Here is a 17,786-nt window from a genome sequence, read left to right as displayed (position 1 = left end):
GATACTCTTCCTGTTTCTTCTCTGTGCAGCACACATTTTCTGTTCCTCCTCTGGCCAGGTCACACTTCCTGTCACTCTCCTGAGACAGACACACTTCCTGTTCCTCCTCTGCAGGACATACTTTTTGTTCTTCCTCTGTGCAGAACACGCTTCATGTTTTACCCCTGTTAAGGACACATTTCCTGTTTATTTTACTTTAACTTTTTTTTAACTTTATTTAACTTTATTTAAATTATTTAATTTTTTAAACTTTATTTAACTTTATTTTACTTCCTGGACATTTTAACTTTTTAAGATTTTATATTTTTTTCATTTTAATTTTGTATATTTCACTATCTTTGGGGCTAGCTTAAAATGTTTCTCATCTGTAAAAGACCATCACCATTTATAAAATACTAGCACCATTTATAAATAAACATGCTTTTCCTGTAGAACTAACATATGATATTTTCACACTCCAAGTTTCTGTAAATATTTAGCATGATTTGTGGACTTTATTCTATTCCATAACACCATCTTATTTGTGGCAATACTGAAGTACAGGAATTATCATAGATTTTTTTGTAGGTTTTTACTACTCCTTTTCAGATTTTTTGACTTTGTTCCAGTGGTGTTTTGTTTTGTTTGTTGTTGTTTGTTTTTTTGCCATGTAAATTTAAACTATTTCTGTCTTATAGGGCAGAAATCAGAAACTGCATTAGAAACTTATACATAGCTCACTATAATTTAAAAAAATTATTTTTTAAAATCAATATCTGAATTTGGGGTAGGTTGCTATTTTATAAAAGCAAGACTTAACTAACTTTGACCATTAATGATAGTAGAGTTATCATAGAACCAATGACCATAGAATTTTCCTCTGCTAATTAAGTCCTATTTATGTGCATCTATAAAGTTCAATATTATTTCCAGTTACCTGGATGGTCAATGAAGTAGAACATTCATTTCTATCTTCTGAGAATCACCTGACACATTTCTTATCAGTACAATTGTATTCAACAGACATTTATTAAAGATCTGTAATTTTCTTAACACCGTGCTAGGTAGCACTTGAATAAATGTTTCTCATAAAAATATGATGTCATACAATGCTGTATAATATAGAAATAAACTTTGAATGGAGAATTTTGTAAACAGGTTTTGAAAGAGGAAGATATAAGATGGGCCAAGATACATGGGTAAAGCTGCAGTAAAATGTGTGTCATTTTTTGTTCAATATTTGTTTATTTGGGGACATTAACATTAGTCTTTCTTTACATTTCTAAGTATACAATCATATACATATTTGTTACTATTTATGCCTGTTTGACACTCCTGTTCCTATGAAATTAGCATGACCCATGGGCCACATCCGGCCATCTAAAGCCTCTTTTTGTAAATAAAGTTTAATTGGTACACAGCTATGCCCATTCATTTATACATGGCTTATTGCCGTTTTCACAGAAGGAAAGAGTTGAGCACTTGTGTCAGAGACTAAACCATTAAAACCTAAATTCTTCAGTATCTGTTCTTTTTTTTTAATGAAAACTAGTGGTGTAAATCTCTGCATTAGATTAACAAGTTTGGGAGCTAGAAACTGCAGTGACTTCTTGGAGTGTAGGTTGTAGCCAGAGGTCACGATTGATTTCAATGAATTCAGTAACATAACCTCATGTTCTCTTGCTTTTGATTACTCACAGTGTCTGATTTACATCGAGTTGAATCTTTACCTCTATAGCTCAGAAAAAATCTTAAGTCATTACCAAATACATACCTTCATATATTTGCAAATTGGAAAAGAACAAAACAAAATGTCAATCCTTTTTGGAGTTTGAGTCATAGCTGTATTTTTCCAAGAAAAACTCCTTGTATTTATATTAAATCATGCACCATAATTTTTTTGAGTACAGAATCTATCTTAATTTAGCCTTTAATTGCCTGCTAACCAAAATGTTCCTTTTTCCCAGCTCTTTTCCCTGCATACAGTACCATAAAAGACATGTCTCTGTTTGTAATTCAGCTCCAGTTATGTAATTCATAATCACTCTATGATGACAGATAAATTGAATAGTCTTAAAAAGATACATTGTTTTTATTTAAAGAATGGGTACAGAAATATGCCCCACCTCACAGGGTTGTTTCAAGAATTAAGAGCCCAAACGGTTATGAACTTGGAGTCCAGAACATAGAGAAAAGTTGAAAGGACTGTCTGTCTCACTTTCTCAGCAAACTTTCCCAAGAGCTGAGAAGGGAGGAACCTTAACCTTATTCAATAAACAACAGGTAAGTGGTTTCTCTAAGAACACTTATGTGTGGTCATTCACTAGTAAATTAAGGACTATTCTTTTGTCTTCCTTTTACCAAATTTGTTTTCAAGGAGTTAAATGGCTATTTCTATGTCAATATCTGAAATCCATTTGTAAGGTATATTACTGAATCCACTAGAGAAAGCTACATAGGATGATTGAGTTAAATAAACAAGGGTTTGAAAACTAATCATGTTTCTGCTGAAGGACAGCAGAAGGGTAATAACCTTTCAAGCAGAAGGTCTGTAACAGATTGTTGTGCAACCAATTAGTCATCATTTCGCTGGCCTCAGAGGTGAAAGCAATGTTTTCCCCACTTATTTAAGCATTGGTTGGTCACGGATAGAAACCAGAATCCAATTAAAATGACTCAGAGATGAAGTACATCAAAGCTATTCTGCCTTCTTGACTAATTCTTCATTCTTATCTTGTCCTTGGGTGAGTTCCATAAGGTATAAATTTTCCTTGGCTTCATAAGCAAACTCCAGAATCAAACAGATTAGAGCAATAGCACTACATGATGTATGAAACAAACTAAATCACTTTGGTTAAAGTATAATGTCTCCATAACAACATTAACTAGTTCACTCAGAAACTCACCACAAAATACTGAACAATAAAGTGCAAAAGTAATCATTGCTTCTGTATTTTACTATAGACAAGCCAGTGATTCCATAAGATAAATTGATTGCAGGATAGGTAAAAATAAATTTAAAGATAGAAATATTCTTATCTTTCTTAGTGCATGGAAAATATTATGTAAAATGCATCTAAACAGGATGACGCTTAAAATCTGGTAAGTACAATGTTTATTTTGTTCTTCTTAGGGAAAAAAAAACACATCAAAAAAATCTGGGAGGAGGAGCCAAGATGGCCGAATAGGAACAGCTCCGGTCTACAGCTCCCAGCGTGAGCGACGCAGAAGACGGGTGATTTCTGCATTTCCATCTGAGGTACCGGGTTCATCTCACTAGGGAGTGCCAGACAGTGGGCGCAGGCCAGTGTGTGCGCGCACCGTGCGTGAGCCGAAGCAGGGCGAGGCATTGCCTCACCTGGGAAGCGCAAGGGTCAGGGAGTTCCCTTTCCGAGTCAAAGAAAGGGGTGACGGATGCACCTGGAAAATCGGGTCACTCCCACCCGAATATTGCGCTTTTCAGACCGGCTTAAAAAACGGCGCACCAGAAGACTATATCCCACACCTGGCTCAGAGGGTCCTACGCCCAAGGAATCTCGCTGATTGCTAGCACAGCAGTCTGAGATCAAACTGCAAGGCGGCAACGAGGCTGGGGGAGGGGCGCCCGCCATTGCCCAGGCTTGCTTAGGTAAACAAAGCAGCCGGGAAGCTCGAACTGGGTGGAGCCCACCACAGCTCAAGGAGGCCTGCCTGCCTCTGTAGGCTCCACCTCTGGGGGCAGGGCACAGACAAACAAAAAGACAGCAGTAACCTCTGCAGACTTAAGTGTCCCTGTCTGACAGCTTTGAAGAGAGCAGTGGTTCTCCCAGCACGCAGCTGGAGATCTGAGAACGGGCAGACTGCCTCCTCAATTGGGTCCCTGACGCCTGACCCCCGAGCAGCCTAACTGGGAGGCACCCCCCAGCAGGGGCACACTGACACCTCACACGGCAGGGTATTCCAACAGACCTGCAGCTGAGGGTCCTGTCTGTTAGAAGGAAAACTAACAACCAGAAAGGACATCTACACCAAAAACCCATCTGTACATCACCATTATCAAAGACCAAAAGTAGATAAAACCACAAAGATGGGGAAAAAACAGAACAGAAAAACTGGAAACTCTAAAACGCAGAGCGCCTCTCCTCCTCCAAAGGAACGCAGTTCCTCACCAGCAACGGAACAAAGCTGGATGGAGAATGATTTTGACGAGCTGAGAGAAGAAGGCTTCAGACGATCAAATTACTCTGAGCTACGGGAGGACATTCAAACCGAAGGCAAGGAAGTTGAAAACTTTGAAAAAAATTTAGAAGAATGTATAACTAGAATAACCAATACAGAGAAGTGCTTAAAGGAGCTGATGGAGCTGAAAACCAAGGCTCGAGAACTATGTGAAGAATGCAGAAGCCTCAGGAGCCGATGCGATCAACTGGAAGAAAGGGTATCAGCAATGGAAGATGAAATGAATGAAATGAAGCGAGAAGGGAAGTTTAGAGAAAAAAGAATAAAAAGAAATGAGCAAAGCCTCCAAGAAATATGGGACTATGTGAAAAGACCAAATCTACGTCTGATTGGTGTACCTGAAAGTGATGTGGAGAGTGGAACCAAGTTGGAAAACACTCTGCAGGATATTATCCAGGAGAACTTCCCCAATCTAGCAAGGCAGGCCAACGTTCAGATTCAGGAAATACAGAGAACGCCACAGCGATACTCCTCGAGAAGAGCAACTCCAAGACACATAATTGTCAGATTCACCAAAGTTGAAATGAAGGAAAAAATGTTAAGGGCAGCCAGAGAGAAAGGTCGGGTTACCCTCAAAGGAAAGCCCATCAGACTAACAGCGGATCTCTCGGCAGAAACCCTACAAGCCAGAAGAGAGTGGGGGCCAATATTCAACATTCTTAAAGAAAAGAATTTTCAACCCAGAATTTCATATCCAGCCAAACTAAGCTTCATAAGTGAAGGAGAAATAAAATACTTTATAGACAAGCAAATGCTGAGAGATTTTGTCACCACCAGGCCTGCCCTAAAAGAGCTCCTGAAGGAAGCGCTAAACATGGAAAGGAACTACCGGTACCAGCCGCTGCAAAATCATGCCAAAATGTAAAGACCATCGAGACTAGGAAGAAACTGCATCAACTAACGAGCAAAATCACCAGCTAACATCATAATGACAGGTTCAAATTCACACATAACAATATTAACTTTAAATATAAATGGACTAAATTCTGCAATTAAAAGACACAGACTGGCAAGTTGGATAAAGAGTCAAGACCCATCAGTGTGCTGTATTCAGGAAACCCATCTCATGTGCAGAGACACACATAGGCTCAAAATAAAAGGATGGAGAAAGATCTACCAAGCCAATGGAAAACAAAAAAAGGCAGGGGTTGCAATCCTAGTCTCTGATAAAACAGACTTTAAACCAACAAAGTTCAAAAGAGACAAAGAAGGCCATTACATAATGGTAAAGGAATCAATTCAACAAGAGGAGCTAACTATCCTAAATATTTATGCACCCAATACAGGAGCACCCAGATTCATAAAGCAAGTCCTGAGTGACCTACAAAGAGACTTAGACTCCCACACATTAATAATGGGAGACTTTAACACCCCACTGTCAACATTAGACAGAGCAACGAGACAGAAAGTCAACAAGGATACCCAGGAATTGAACTCAGCTCTGCACCAAGCGGACCTAATAGACCTAATAGACCTAATCTACAGAACTCTCCACCCCAAATCAACAGCAATATACATTTTTTCAGCACCACACCACACCTATTCCAAAATTGACCACATAGTTGGAAGTAAAGCTCTCCTCAGCAAATGTAAAAGAACAGAAATTATAACAAACTATCTCTCAGACCACAGTGCAATCAAACTAGAAATCAGGATTAAGAATCTCACTCAAAGCCGCTCAACTACATGGAAACTGAACAACCTGCTCCTGAACGACTACTGTGTACATAACGAAATGAAGGAAGAAATAAAGATGTTCTTTGAAACCAACGAGAACAAAGACACCACATACCAGAATCTCTGGGACGCATTCAAAGCAGTGTGTAGAGGGAAATTTATAGCACTAAATGCCTACAAGAGAAAGCAGGAAAGATCGAAAATTGACACCCTAACATCACAATTAAAAGAACTAGAAAAGCAAGAGCAAACACATTCAAAAGCTAGCAGAAGGCAAGAAATAACTAAAATCAGAGCAGAACTGAAGGAAATAGAGACACAAAAAACCCTTCAAAAAATCAATGAATCCAGGAGCTGGTTTTTTGAAAGGATCAACAAAATTGATAGACCGCTAGCAAGACTAATAAAGAAAAAAAGAGAGAAGAATCAAATAGACCCAATAAAAAATGATAAAGGGGATATCACCACCGATCCCACAGAAATACAAACTACCATCAGAGAATACTACAAACACCTCTACACAAATAAACTAGAAAATCTACAAGAAATGGATACATTCCTCGACACATACACTCTCCCAAGACTAAACCAGGAAGAAGTTGAATCTCTGAATAGACCAATAACAGGCTCTGAAATTGTGGCAATAATCAATAGTTTACCAACCAAAAAGAGTCCAGAACCAGATCGATTCACAGCCGAATTCTACCAGAGGTAGAAGGAGGAACTGGTACCATTCCTTCTGAAACTATTCCAATCAATAGAAAAAGAGGGAATCCTCCCTAACTCATTTTATGAGGCCAGCATCATTCTGATACCAAAGCCGGGCAGAGACACAACCAAAAAAGAGAATTTTAGACCAATATCCTTGATGAACATTGATGCAAAAATCCTCAATAAAATACTGGCAAACCGAATCCAGCAGCACATCAAAAAGCTTATCCACCATGATCAAGTGGGCTTCATCCCTGGGATGCAAGGCTGGTTCAATATACACAAATCAATAAATGTAATCCAGCATATAAACAGAGCCAAAGACAAAAACCACATGATTATCTCAATAGATGCAGAAAAAGCCTTTGACAAAATTCAACAACCCTTCATGCTAAAAACTCTCAATAAATTAGGTATTGATGGGACGTATTTCAAAATAATAAGAGCTATCTATGACAAACCCACAGCCAATATCATACTGAATGGGCAAAAACTGGAAGCATTCCCTTTGAAAACTGGCACAAGACAGGGATGCCCTCTCTCACCGCTCCTATTCAACATAGTGTTGGAAGTTCTGGCCAGGGCAATCAGGCAGGAGAAGGAAATAAAGGGTATTCAATTAGGAAAAGAGGAAGTCAAATTGTCCCTGTTTGCAGACGACATGATTGTTTATCTAGAAAACCCCATCGTCTCAGCCCAAAATCTCCTTAAGCTGATAAGCAACTTCAGCAAAGTCTCAGGATACAAAATCAATGTACAAAAATCACAAGCATTCTTATACACCAACAACAGACAAACAGAGAGCCAAATCATGAGTGAACTCCCATTCACAATTGCTTCAAAGAGAATAAAATACCTAGGAATCCAACTTACAAGGGATGTGAAGGACCTCTTCAAGGAGAACTACAAACCACTGCTCAAGGAAATAAAAGAGGACACAAACAAATGGAAGAACATTCCATGCTCATGGGTAGGAAGAATCAATATCGTGAAAATGGCCATACTGCCCAAGGTAATTTACAGATTCAATGCCATCCCCATCAAGCTACCAATGACTTTCTTCACAGAATTGGAAAAAACTACTTTAAAGTTCATATGGAACCAAAAAAGAGCCCATATCTCCAAGTCAATCCTAAGCCAAAAGAACAAAGCTGGAGGCATCACACTACCTGACTTCAAACTATACTACAAGACTACAGTAACCAAAACAGCATGGTACTGGTACCAAAACAGAGATATAGATCAATGGAACAGAACAGAACCCTCAGAAATAATGCCGCATATCTACAACTATCTGATCTTTGACAAACCTGAGAAAAACAAGCAATAGGGAAAGGATTCCCTATTTAAAAAATGGTGCTGGGAAAACTGGCTAGCCATATGTAGAAAGCTGAAACTGGATCCCTTCCTTACACCTTATACAAAAATCAATTCAAGATGGATTAAAGATTTAAACGTTAGACCTAAAACCATAAAAACCCTAGAAGAAAACCTAGGCATTACCATTCAGGACATAGGCGTGGGCAAGGACTTCATGTCCAAAACACCAAAAGCAATGGCAACAAAAGCCAAAATTGACAAACGGGATCTAATTAAACTAAAGAGCTTCTGCACAGCAAAAGAAACTACCATCAGAGTGAACAGGCAACCTACAACATGGGAGAAAATTTTCGCAACCTACTCATCTGACAAAGGGCTAATATCCAGAATCTACAATGAACTCAAACAAATTTACAAGAAAAAAACAAACAACCCCATCAAAAAGTGGGCGAAGGACATGAACAGACACTTCTCAAAAGAAGACATTTATGCAGCCAAAAAACACATGAAAAAATGCTCATCATCACTGGCCATCAGAGAAATGCAAATCAAAACCACTATGAGATATCATCTCACACCAGTTAGAATGGCAATCATTAAAAAGTCAGGAAACAACAGGTGCTGGAGAGGTTGTGGAGAAATAGGAACACTTTTACACTGTTGGTGGGACTGTAAACTAGTTCAACCATTGTGGAAGTCAGTGTGGCGATTCCTCAGGGATCTAGAACTAGAAATACCATTTGACCCAGCCATCCCATTACTGGGTATATACCCAAATGACTATAAATCATGCTGCTATAAAGACACATGCACACGTATGTTTATTGCGGCATTATTCACAATAGCAAAGACTTGGAACCAACCCAAATGTCCAACAATGATAGTCTGGATTAAGAAAATGTGGCACATATACACCATGGAATACTATGAAGCCATAAAAAATGATGAGTTCATGTCCTTTGTAGGGACATGGATGAAATTGGATACCATCATTCTCAGTAAACTATCTCAAGAACAAAAAACCAAACACCGCATATTCTCACTCATAGGTGGGAATTGAACAGTGAGATCACATGGACACAGGAAGGGGAATATCACACTCTGGGGACTGTTGTGGGGTCGGGGTAGGGGGGAGGGATAGCATTGGGAGATATACCTAATGATAGATGACACGTTAGTGGGTGCAGCGCACCAGCATGGCACATGTATACATAAGTAACTAACCTGCACAATGTGCACATGTACACTAAAACTTAAAGTATAAAAAAAAAAAAAAAAACTGTATTATTGACCATTTAGAATAAACTGAAAGCAGATATTTAATTGATTTTTAAAAATAAATTTTGCAGTTTCAATTCTTTAAATATTTTAAAATGACTGTAATGCATAATGTAATTGAAGAACAAAATGTGTAAAATCTTAGGCCCTGTGATATAAGCTTACTGAGTCAGGGATTTATCTCGTTCATTTTTGTGTTTCCTACAACATATGCAACCAGCCCACTACCCTATGAAGCATTTACCTAACTAATGAAGTTAAAAAAATTCAAACAGAGAGAGCAAATTAATTTTTAAATGCAAAGAGTAAATTATTTTTACAAATGCACAGCTTAACCATGTAATATTTTAATTGATGCAAAAAACATTTTGATTTATACTAATTTAAAGACAGGGTTTTTCAACATTCAGTCTGCTATACTGGTCTGGAAGTGGACATATATATTTATATGCATATTTGTATTTATATCCAAATTTAAACTTTATATATAATATTTCATGAGCATCCATACACAATCATGTACAAGTATCTTCCTATAACAGTAGTAAATGATGATCCATGAAGATTTATCCAAAAATTATGACAATATATAACAAAGAAAGGAGACTGCTTAGCTCTATTTATACCCAAATTTAAACTTAATATATAATATATACATAAGCATCCATACCCAATCATGTACAAGTTACTTCCTATAACAGTAGTAAATGATGATCCATGAAGTTTTATCCAAAAATTAACAACAACAATATTTAACAAAGAAGGGAGACTTTGCTTAGCTGTTCAGATTGCAGGAAAAGGGTGGAACAAGACATTTAGGAAAGAGAAAATCTTATTTGTTTGTAGAGAGCCGTAGTAAATTTCATGTCACTCCACAGTATGCATCTTACCAATGAAACCAAGCTCTCCTAGACCATTCCTCTCTACTGGAGGGTTCCTTCCTCTCAGTGCCAGGTGATGGTAATAATGTCTATATTCATTTACTTCATATTATACCACATCATTTTTGAAGTGCTTTCATTTGCACTAAAAAATACAATTTCTAAAACAATAAGGGATGTCAAGTGACCTCTTTCCAAACATTAATTGTTGGACAAGAGAATCATATGCAATACATGAATACTTCATATTCCCACTGGATTAGACTTATAATGTTGCTCCACTTTCATTACTAGAAGTCGTGATCTTCTTTTACTGTCACTAAGTCTGAAAACATCTATTTTATTTTTTTAAATACAATTTCAATTTTTATTTTGGGTTCAGCTGATACATATACAGTTTTGTTACATGTGTATATTGCATGATGTTGAAGTTGGGGTATGAACTATCCTTTTACCCAGGTACTGAGCATAGTACCCAACACGTAGATTTTTAACCCTTGCTTCCCTTCACCCTTCTGCCAAGTAGTCCCCAGTGTCTGTTGTTCCCATCTTTGTGTTCACGTGTACTCAATATTTAGTTCCCAATTATAAGTGAGAATGTGTGATATTTGGTTTTCCATTTTGGTATAGTTTGCTTTGAATAATGGATTCCAACTCCATCCTTCTTCCTGTAAAGGGCATGATCTTTTTTATGGCTGCATAGTATTTCATGGTATCTATGTATCACATTTTTAAAAATCCAATTGATTGTTGATGGGCATCTAGGTTGATTTCATGTCTTTGTCATTGTGAATAATGCTGCGATAAACAGACAAGCGCTGCTCTCTTTTGGTGGAATTACTTATTTTCATTTGGGTATATGCCCAGCAATAGAATTGCTCAGTCAAATGGTAAGTGTTTTAAGCTCTTTGAGAAATCTTCAAACTGCTTTCCACAGTGGCTGAGCTAATTTCCTATCAACAAAGTAGGAATATTCCTCTTCCTCCACAAACTCACCAACACCTGTTATTATTTTACTTTTCTAAACAAATATTTTCTTAAATTGATTTCTTTTTTAGAGATACAGCACAGTGAACCATCTAGCAAACTGGGAAGAAAATTTTCATGAAAAACAGAAGAAGCAGCGTGGAGGCGAGGCATGGTCTCCATCCATGTAATCTCAACACTTTAGGAGACTGAGGCAGGAGGATGGCTTAAGCCCAGTTGTTTTAGACCAGCCTGGACAATGTAATGACATCTCATCTCTACAAAGAATACAAAAGAAATAGTTGGGCATAGTTGTTCATACCTACGATTCCAGCTATGTGGGAGGCTTTGGCGGTAGGATAACTTGAGCCCAGGAGTTCAGACCTGAGTGAGCTATGATAACACCACCGCACTCTAGCCTGGGTGACAGAGCTAGGAAAATGGGGGCAGGGGGGAAGAAGCCTGAAAAAAAAAAAGCATGTTTGACTTTCTGTAAAATGGCACCACTGTTTGATTGAACCAGGACAGAAACAAGTACTGGGTAGACTTTGTTCTGTATTAGTCACTGATGTCCGAAGGGGTTAAGAGGAAGGCACTCTAGTTTGTTATCTTCCTTGTAACCAATTGATTTAATCTCTGCTCCTCTTTCTTTGAAGGAAACATCCTTGGTGAGAAAAACTCCTTCAGGAATAATTGATTGCATTGTATCACTGCCTTTGGCAAGTGAGTTGAAAGAAAATTTGGATTTAAATATTTAGAATGAGATATCATGATGTACAAATAAGTAAAATTACAAACCAATGCACAGAAACAACTAGAAGAAGACAGAATAAGAATTTATTAAATATTTGGAAGAAGACAGCACCCCAAATTGTTAAGTTGTAGAAGTCACAAAAACTAAAATCCAAACAAAGAAAGTTTAAAAAACATAACCAACATCAAAAGTCAGTGTACATTACAAAGCAGAACTTTTAGTCAGATTCAAAATTTGTCTATTAAACTGGTAAGCATTACAAAGTGGTGGAATTTTTTTGAAGATAACTGAAAGTAAAAGATTACATACATGCACATTCGAATTTTAAGTGATTACCAGTTTTGTGGAAGGGAATTTACACATATGCATCTAAAATTTTTACACATATTCATATCTTTGCTCCAAATATTTGACTGCATAGAAACACTACAGCAGTATGAAAAAACAAAACAACAAAAACCACTTGCAAAACCTCTGTTACATTTTATTTTTAATGGAATTTTTAAAAAATCTTAAATCTCAGGCTTCCAGCTATTGTCCAATTTATTGTATACCCACAGAGTATTCCACAATTTACATAATTGATATGACATAGGACTTTCCCACTGATTTATAGAATCCCAAATATTTCTTTCTGGATTTAGCAACTGTATGATCCGTGTTTGTGACTGTAACAGCTTCCTAAATTATTAAAGCACACATTCAGAAGTAGATCAGTTTTCTGGTGTGAGTTGAATCAAGAGGATATCTGCAAGTGATCTCTTAAATTGCAGGAACAGACACAGAAAGGGTGGGAATAGAAGTCTTACATCACAAATCAGCTCTGAACACCTCAAAGAGTGGCTGCCTGGAGCCTGGGGTTGCAAAGATATCCCAGGCTACATCAGGACTTTGCTAAGGAAAAAGACACCAACAATAATTGATGTCAAGAACAGGAATAGTAAGAAGCAGGGATAGTTAAGCCATCTCTTGCCCAGGGAGGATCAATCAACTTCTGTAAGACTGTCTTTAAAATCCAGATCAATTGTGCTTCCTTTATCTGCTCTGCTCTCCTCCTTTGCTACTTCTTTTTCCTTTTGGTTTTTAACTTTTATTTTAGGTTCAGGGGTACATATTTAAGTTTGTCATAAAAGTAAATTGTGTGTCATGTGGGTTTGATGTAAAGATTATTTTGTCACCCAGGTAATAGTACCTCCTCCCACCCTCCACTCTCATATATGTCCGCGTATCTGTTGTTCCTTTCTTTGTGTTCACATCTTCTCAATATTTAGCTCCCACTTGGAAATTAGAAGATGTGGTATTTGGTTTTCTGTTTCTGTGTTAATTCTCTTAGGATAATGGCCTTAAGCTCCATCCATGTTGCCGCAAGGGACGTTATCTTGTTGTTTTTTATGACTGTATAGTATTCCATGATATACAAGTACCACATTTCCTTTGTCCAGTCTACCACTTATGGCCATGTAGGTTTATTCCCTGTTTTTACTATTGTGAATAGTGCTGCAATGAGCATACATGTGCATGTGTCGTTATGTTAGAATCAACTATATTCCTTTGGGAATATACCCAATAATGGGATTTCTGGGTCAAATGATACTTCTGTTTTAATTTCTTTGAGGAATCACCACACTGCTTTCCACAGTGGCTGAACTAATTTGCATTCTCACAAGCTGTGTATAAATGTTCCCTTTTCTCCACAGTCTTGCCAGCATCTGTTGCTTTTTGACTTTTTAATAACAGTCATTTTGATTGGTGGAGATGGTATTTCACTGTAATTTTGATTTGCACTTCTCTAATGATTAGTGATATTGACCATTTTTTATAATGCTTGTTGGTCATGTGTATGTCATCTTTAGAAAGGTGTCATAGCAGTTTATTTCTTCCACCTTTAAATGATGAATCTTTTTTGGAACACCATAGTACAGTTTTCTCTTTGCTCAGCAATCCACAGGGAAGTATGATGACAGAGGAGAGACAGGCATTATTCTGCCATATTATCTTAAAGTAAACTAATACATGCAAGTCCTAATATGATGGATTGTGTGCTATATACCAGATGCTGTCGTGTTTGGATCACATTGTGCCATGCAAACTTCATTGTGGAGACTAACAAGCTGAGTGGTTTAGAAAAATTAGACAACACACCCAAGTTCACTCAACAACTACAGGTAAGAAAAATATAAATTTGCTTAACCACATGGTAGGATCTCTTTTTTGGAGATCATTATACCACTGCCAAAGCATAAAGTGTTCAAACAGTGAAAAACCTGACTATCATGGAGATACATGAAGAATTTATGTCAGATATTTACCCAACACATTAACAAGGCATATTAGTCATGGTTTTCCAGAGAAACAGAACCAATAGGATCTACATCTACATGAAAGAGAGTTTATTAGTAAGAATTGGCTCACATGATCACAAGGTGTGGTTCCGCAATAGGCTGTCTGCAAGCTGGGGAAGAGAGAAGCCGGTAATGGCTCAGTCCATGTCCAAAAGCCTCAAAAGTCAGGAAGCTGAACATGGAGTGAGATGTTTGAGGAAAGGAAGCATCTAGGATGGGAGAAAGATGAAAGACAAAAGACCCAGCAAATCAGCTTCCCTACCTTCTTTTGCCTGCTTTCTCAAGCCACACTGGCAGCCAGTTGGAGAGTGTACACCCACATTGACGGTAGGTCTTCCTCTCCCAGTCCACTGACTCAAATGTTAATCTCCTCTGGCAACATCCTCACAGACACACTCAGGAATAATACTTTCCATCCTTCAATCCAATCAAATCAACATTTAATATTGACCATCACACAAGGCACATACCAAAATGACCCAGTTGACTTAAATGAGCCTTTGAGATACAGATATTTACATAAAATGAGGGAAAACATGCAGAAATCATTTGGGTAAATTACATCCAAAGCTAGTTAAAGTTTTAAGGAGCAATACAACTATAATCTTTAAGGTCATTTTATTTTCCTACCTGTCCCTAACCATTTGCAACTTATTAGACTTCTACAAGTTAATGCGAGACTTCTCATAGTGTAATAATTAATTAGTGTAATAATCAAATGGTCAAAGACAATTACCTTCATTTTTAATAATTAAAAACAAAATTGGTTGCCCCATTAAGTTAATGTTCCTACACAGCACTGAAGAGATGCAGTCATTCTTTGGACCTGTTTCCATCTTAGGATTTTTTTTTTTCTGTGTACCTATATCTTTATGATATTGATTCACGAGAGGGTGAAAGTAAATTTTGGTGTACTTTAAAAGTCAGGATCCTTACAGATTTATCTTTACTGTCAGCATATTGAGAATCTCATAGTTTTTTGATACACTTTGTTGGAAGACAACAGACCAGCCACATAGGAATACCTAATTTAGGGGTTTTGGGGTGGATATTTGGAATATTCTTGACTGAGTGGTTGGAATGAAATTATACTCAAATGAACAATGTGAATTTAACACTCCAAAAATCTAAATATACTGTAAAGTACAACTTAAGTATCCACTTACCCTATTTTGGGAAGATGTCTTTTTTTGAAATCTATGATCTACTGGAAGCTAAACCTGTTAGACTGATATCACTTCATTACACACCCTTTTAACATTAAGTTCAAGGTAAGTTTCATACATTCATAAGTTGAATCATGACAGTCATCATTTTGTTTGTGATTCCTGGTAGCATCTGGAGATGACATATGTACTCTAACTACATGTCCCAACATGCAGAAAATGACCATTAGATATAATTATTTTGTTTCATATGGCCTCAAAAAAACCTGTTAAAACAAAACACATCAAGCATTAAAGCTTACCGAAAATAATATTTCTTGAAATAACTATCTTTGGAAGATGGAGCAATAGTGCTGATAATAGAAACAGCTGATTAAAAATGAGGTCAATCACGAAATAGTTTTATCATTATTCATTGAATTCTTATTCACTATTGAAAAGAGAGACATCAGCCTGAGCAACATAGTGAGACCCCTTCTTTATACACAGAAAAATTATCCAGGTGTGAGACCCCTTCTTTACGTAAATAAAAATTAGCCAGGTGTGGTGCCAAGCACCTGTAGCCCTAGCTACTCATGAGGCTGAGCCTGGAGGATCACTTGAGCCCAGGAATTTGAGACTACAGTGAGCTGTGATTGCACTGCTGCACTCCAGCCTGGGCAACAGAGCAAAATGCTGTCTCTTTCAAGAAAAAAAAAAGGGACACCAATTTGTTGTAGTTTGTAATACAAATTATTAATTTAATTATTCATTAAAATTTTAATATAATGTATAAAATTTGTATTAAGTATTAAAATTATCCATGTATCACATAAAACAGAAGGACTTACATTACTTTGGAACTGTGGGGGCCTCATAATTCTATCAAAGTTCTATTGATGTGTAACAGCCCTATGGAACTAAGAGACCATCTTTATGCTTTTGTAGTTTGTCAATTACAGCCATGAAAATTACATACTAATTTCTTCCCTCTACCCCTCAATATCTGGTTGTAGGACTGGGATTACATTGGTTAATATCCATAGTAGGCCAAGGTGTTGAGCAACTTTCCAGAATCATTCTGCTGAATCCTCATCTTATAAATCAATTGGTGTACTCTCCCCATTTTACAGATGGAAGAGTGAGGCATAAAATATTAAGTAATGTCTCAGAACTACATGGACTGTTCATAGTGGGAGAGACACATGCAGGCAGTCTGACTCGAAAAAATGACAAATAACTAAACAAAACGAGACTCAAGGAGCTTGGAAGCTGATAGGGCAGACAGGGATTTGAAATGGAGCAAGAGGTTGAAATTAAAAGGAAATTAGTGGGAGGTATCTGAAATGCAAGTTGCTGTGGATGAGGAAAAGAGAGTGAGCAAACAGAGTGAATTGCTCTAGTTTGGCTAAGCAGGCATCAAAAGGATGAATGGGAGCCACCAGGCATAGCAAAGGCCTAGGAGATGTGCAAGGAATGTCAGAGAACCCAAAAGAAAGCAGGTGAAAAAGGAAAGTAGCTGCAGAGAAACAAAGATCCCTGTAGTCATCACTGGGCTTCTCATGTTCTATTCAAGCTAGGGCTGTCTTTCTTAGAATAAGTTTAAGATGGAAGCAGTTTGTGGCAATTTGCATTTGAATAAGTGCCATCAGGTCCCAGAGTGGAGTTTGCATTACAGATAGCAACAGACATGCAAAGATTGTTTCAGAAAACAATGCCTGGATGCAAGAGACACACCATGAAGTGAACCCTAGGAATGAGTCAATGTACATTGTTTTCAAGGATTAAATACTGTCCATTTTTAACCTCAGGCATTGAGACTGTATTTCTCCTGGACTTAAACTCTAAAAGTAGGTGCAGGGAAACGAAAATGTGGAAAGATATTTTTTAAATGATAGACCTTCCTTGCAGAAACATGTGTTTACCAAGTGGTAGTAAATATCCTGCTTCATCATGTCAAAGGGTGAGTCCTCTGTGGAGTGTCAATTGCTCATAAAGCTGTTTGTGCCTCAGCACTGGCCAGAGGCAGACTCAAGTTTCTGTGATAGGTGTCTATGGGGTGGACATTGATGTTGGCACGATAGCATTAGAGGAGATGAAACTTTGAATGGAACTGAATACCCACGTGTGAGCACATACTTTCATCACCTGCAAAGACATGAAACTCCAGTAAACAAAGAAAGGTTGTAAGCCTATACAAAAAATTCCCAAACACCTTTATATTGACTTTCGAGGTAAGCAAAACAAAACAAAACAAAGCACCATCTTTCATATTCGATACTCTTCTAGATATAAGAACTGAAGCTGCAACTGAAAGGTTTCAGACACAAAACAGACTGAGACTTTCCCTGAGGCTGTTCTTTTTTTTCCTTTTTAAGCATATAATATCTATGCCAAATATTTTTATTCTCATAGTTTTTGTGTCTTATTCTGTGTACGCATCTGATCTTCCGTCTTGGTAGTAACTGGTTGGGGAAACCATTTATTTTTAGTTTATTCTCAACCACTTTCTGAA

The 17,786-nt window shown here is 37.4% G+C and overlaps 2 annotated features.

Moving 5' to 3' along the window:
* Positions 2,826–3,433: an enhancer, noted in NCBI's record as "NANOG-H3K27ac-H3K4me1 hESC enhancer chrY:19178551-19179158 (GRCh37/hg19 assembly coordinates)". NCBI's record gives its function as "activates a minimal SCP1, AML or CMV promoter by ChIP-STARR-seq in primed H9 embryonic stem cells {active_cell/tissue: H9 hESC(primed)}" and the evidence as "EXISTENCE:reporter gene assay evidence [ECO:0000049][PMID:30033119]".
* Positions 3,434–4,041: an enhancer, noted in NCBI's record as "NANOG-H3K27ac-H3K4me1 hESC enhancer chrY:19177943-19178550 (GRCh37/hg19 assembly coordinates)". NCBI's record gives its function as "activates a minimal SCP1, AML or CMV promoter by ChIP-STARR-seq in primed H9 embryonic stem cells {active_cell/tissue: H9 hESC(primed)}" and the evidence as "EXISTENCE:reporter gene assay evidence [ECO:0000049][PMID:30033119]".

Source organism: Homo sapiens, chromosome Y (assembly GCF_000001405.40).
Source record: "Homo sapiens chromosome Y, GRCh38.p14 Primary Assembly".
NCBI classification, from domain to species: Eukaryota; Metazoa; Chordata; class Mammalia; order Primates; family Hominidae; genus Homo; species Homo sapiens.
Note: the sequence above shows the minus strand (reverse complement) of the source record. Positions and strands in the feature narration are given on the sequence as shown.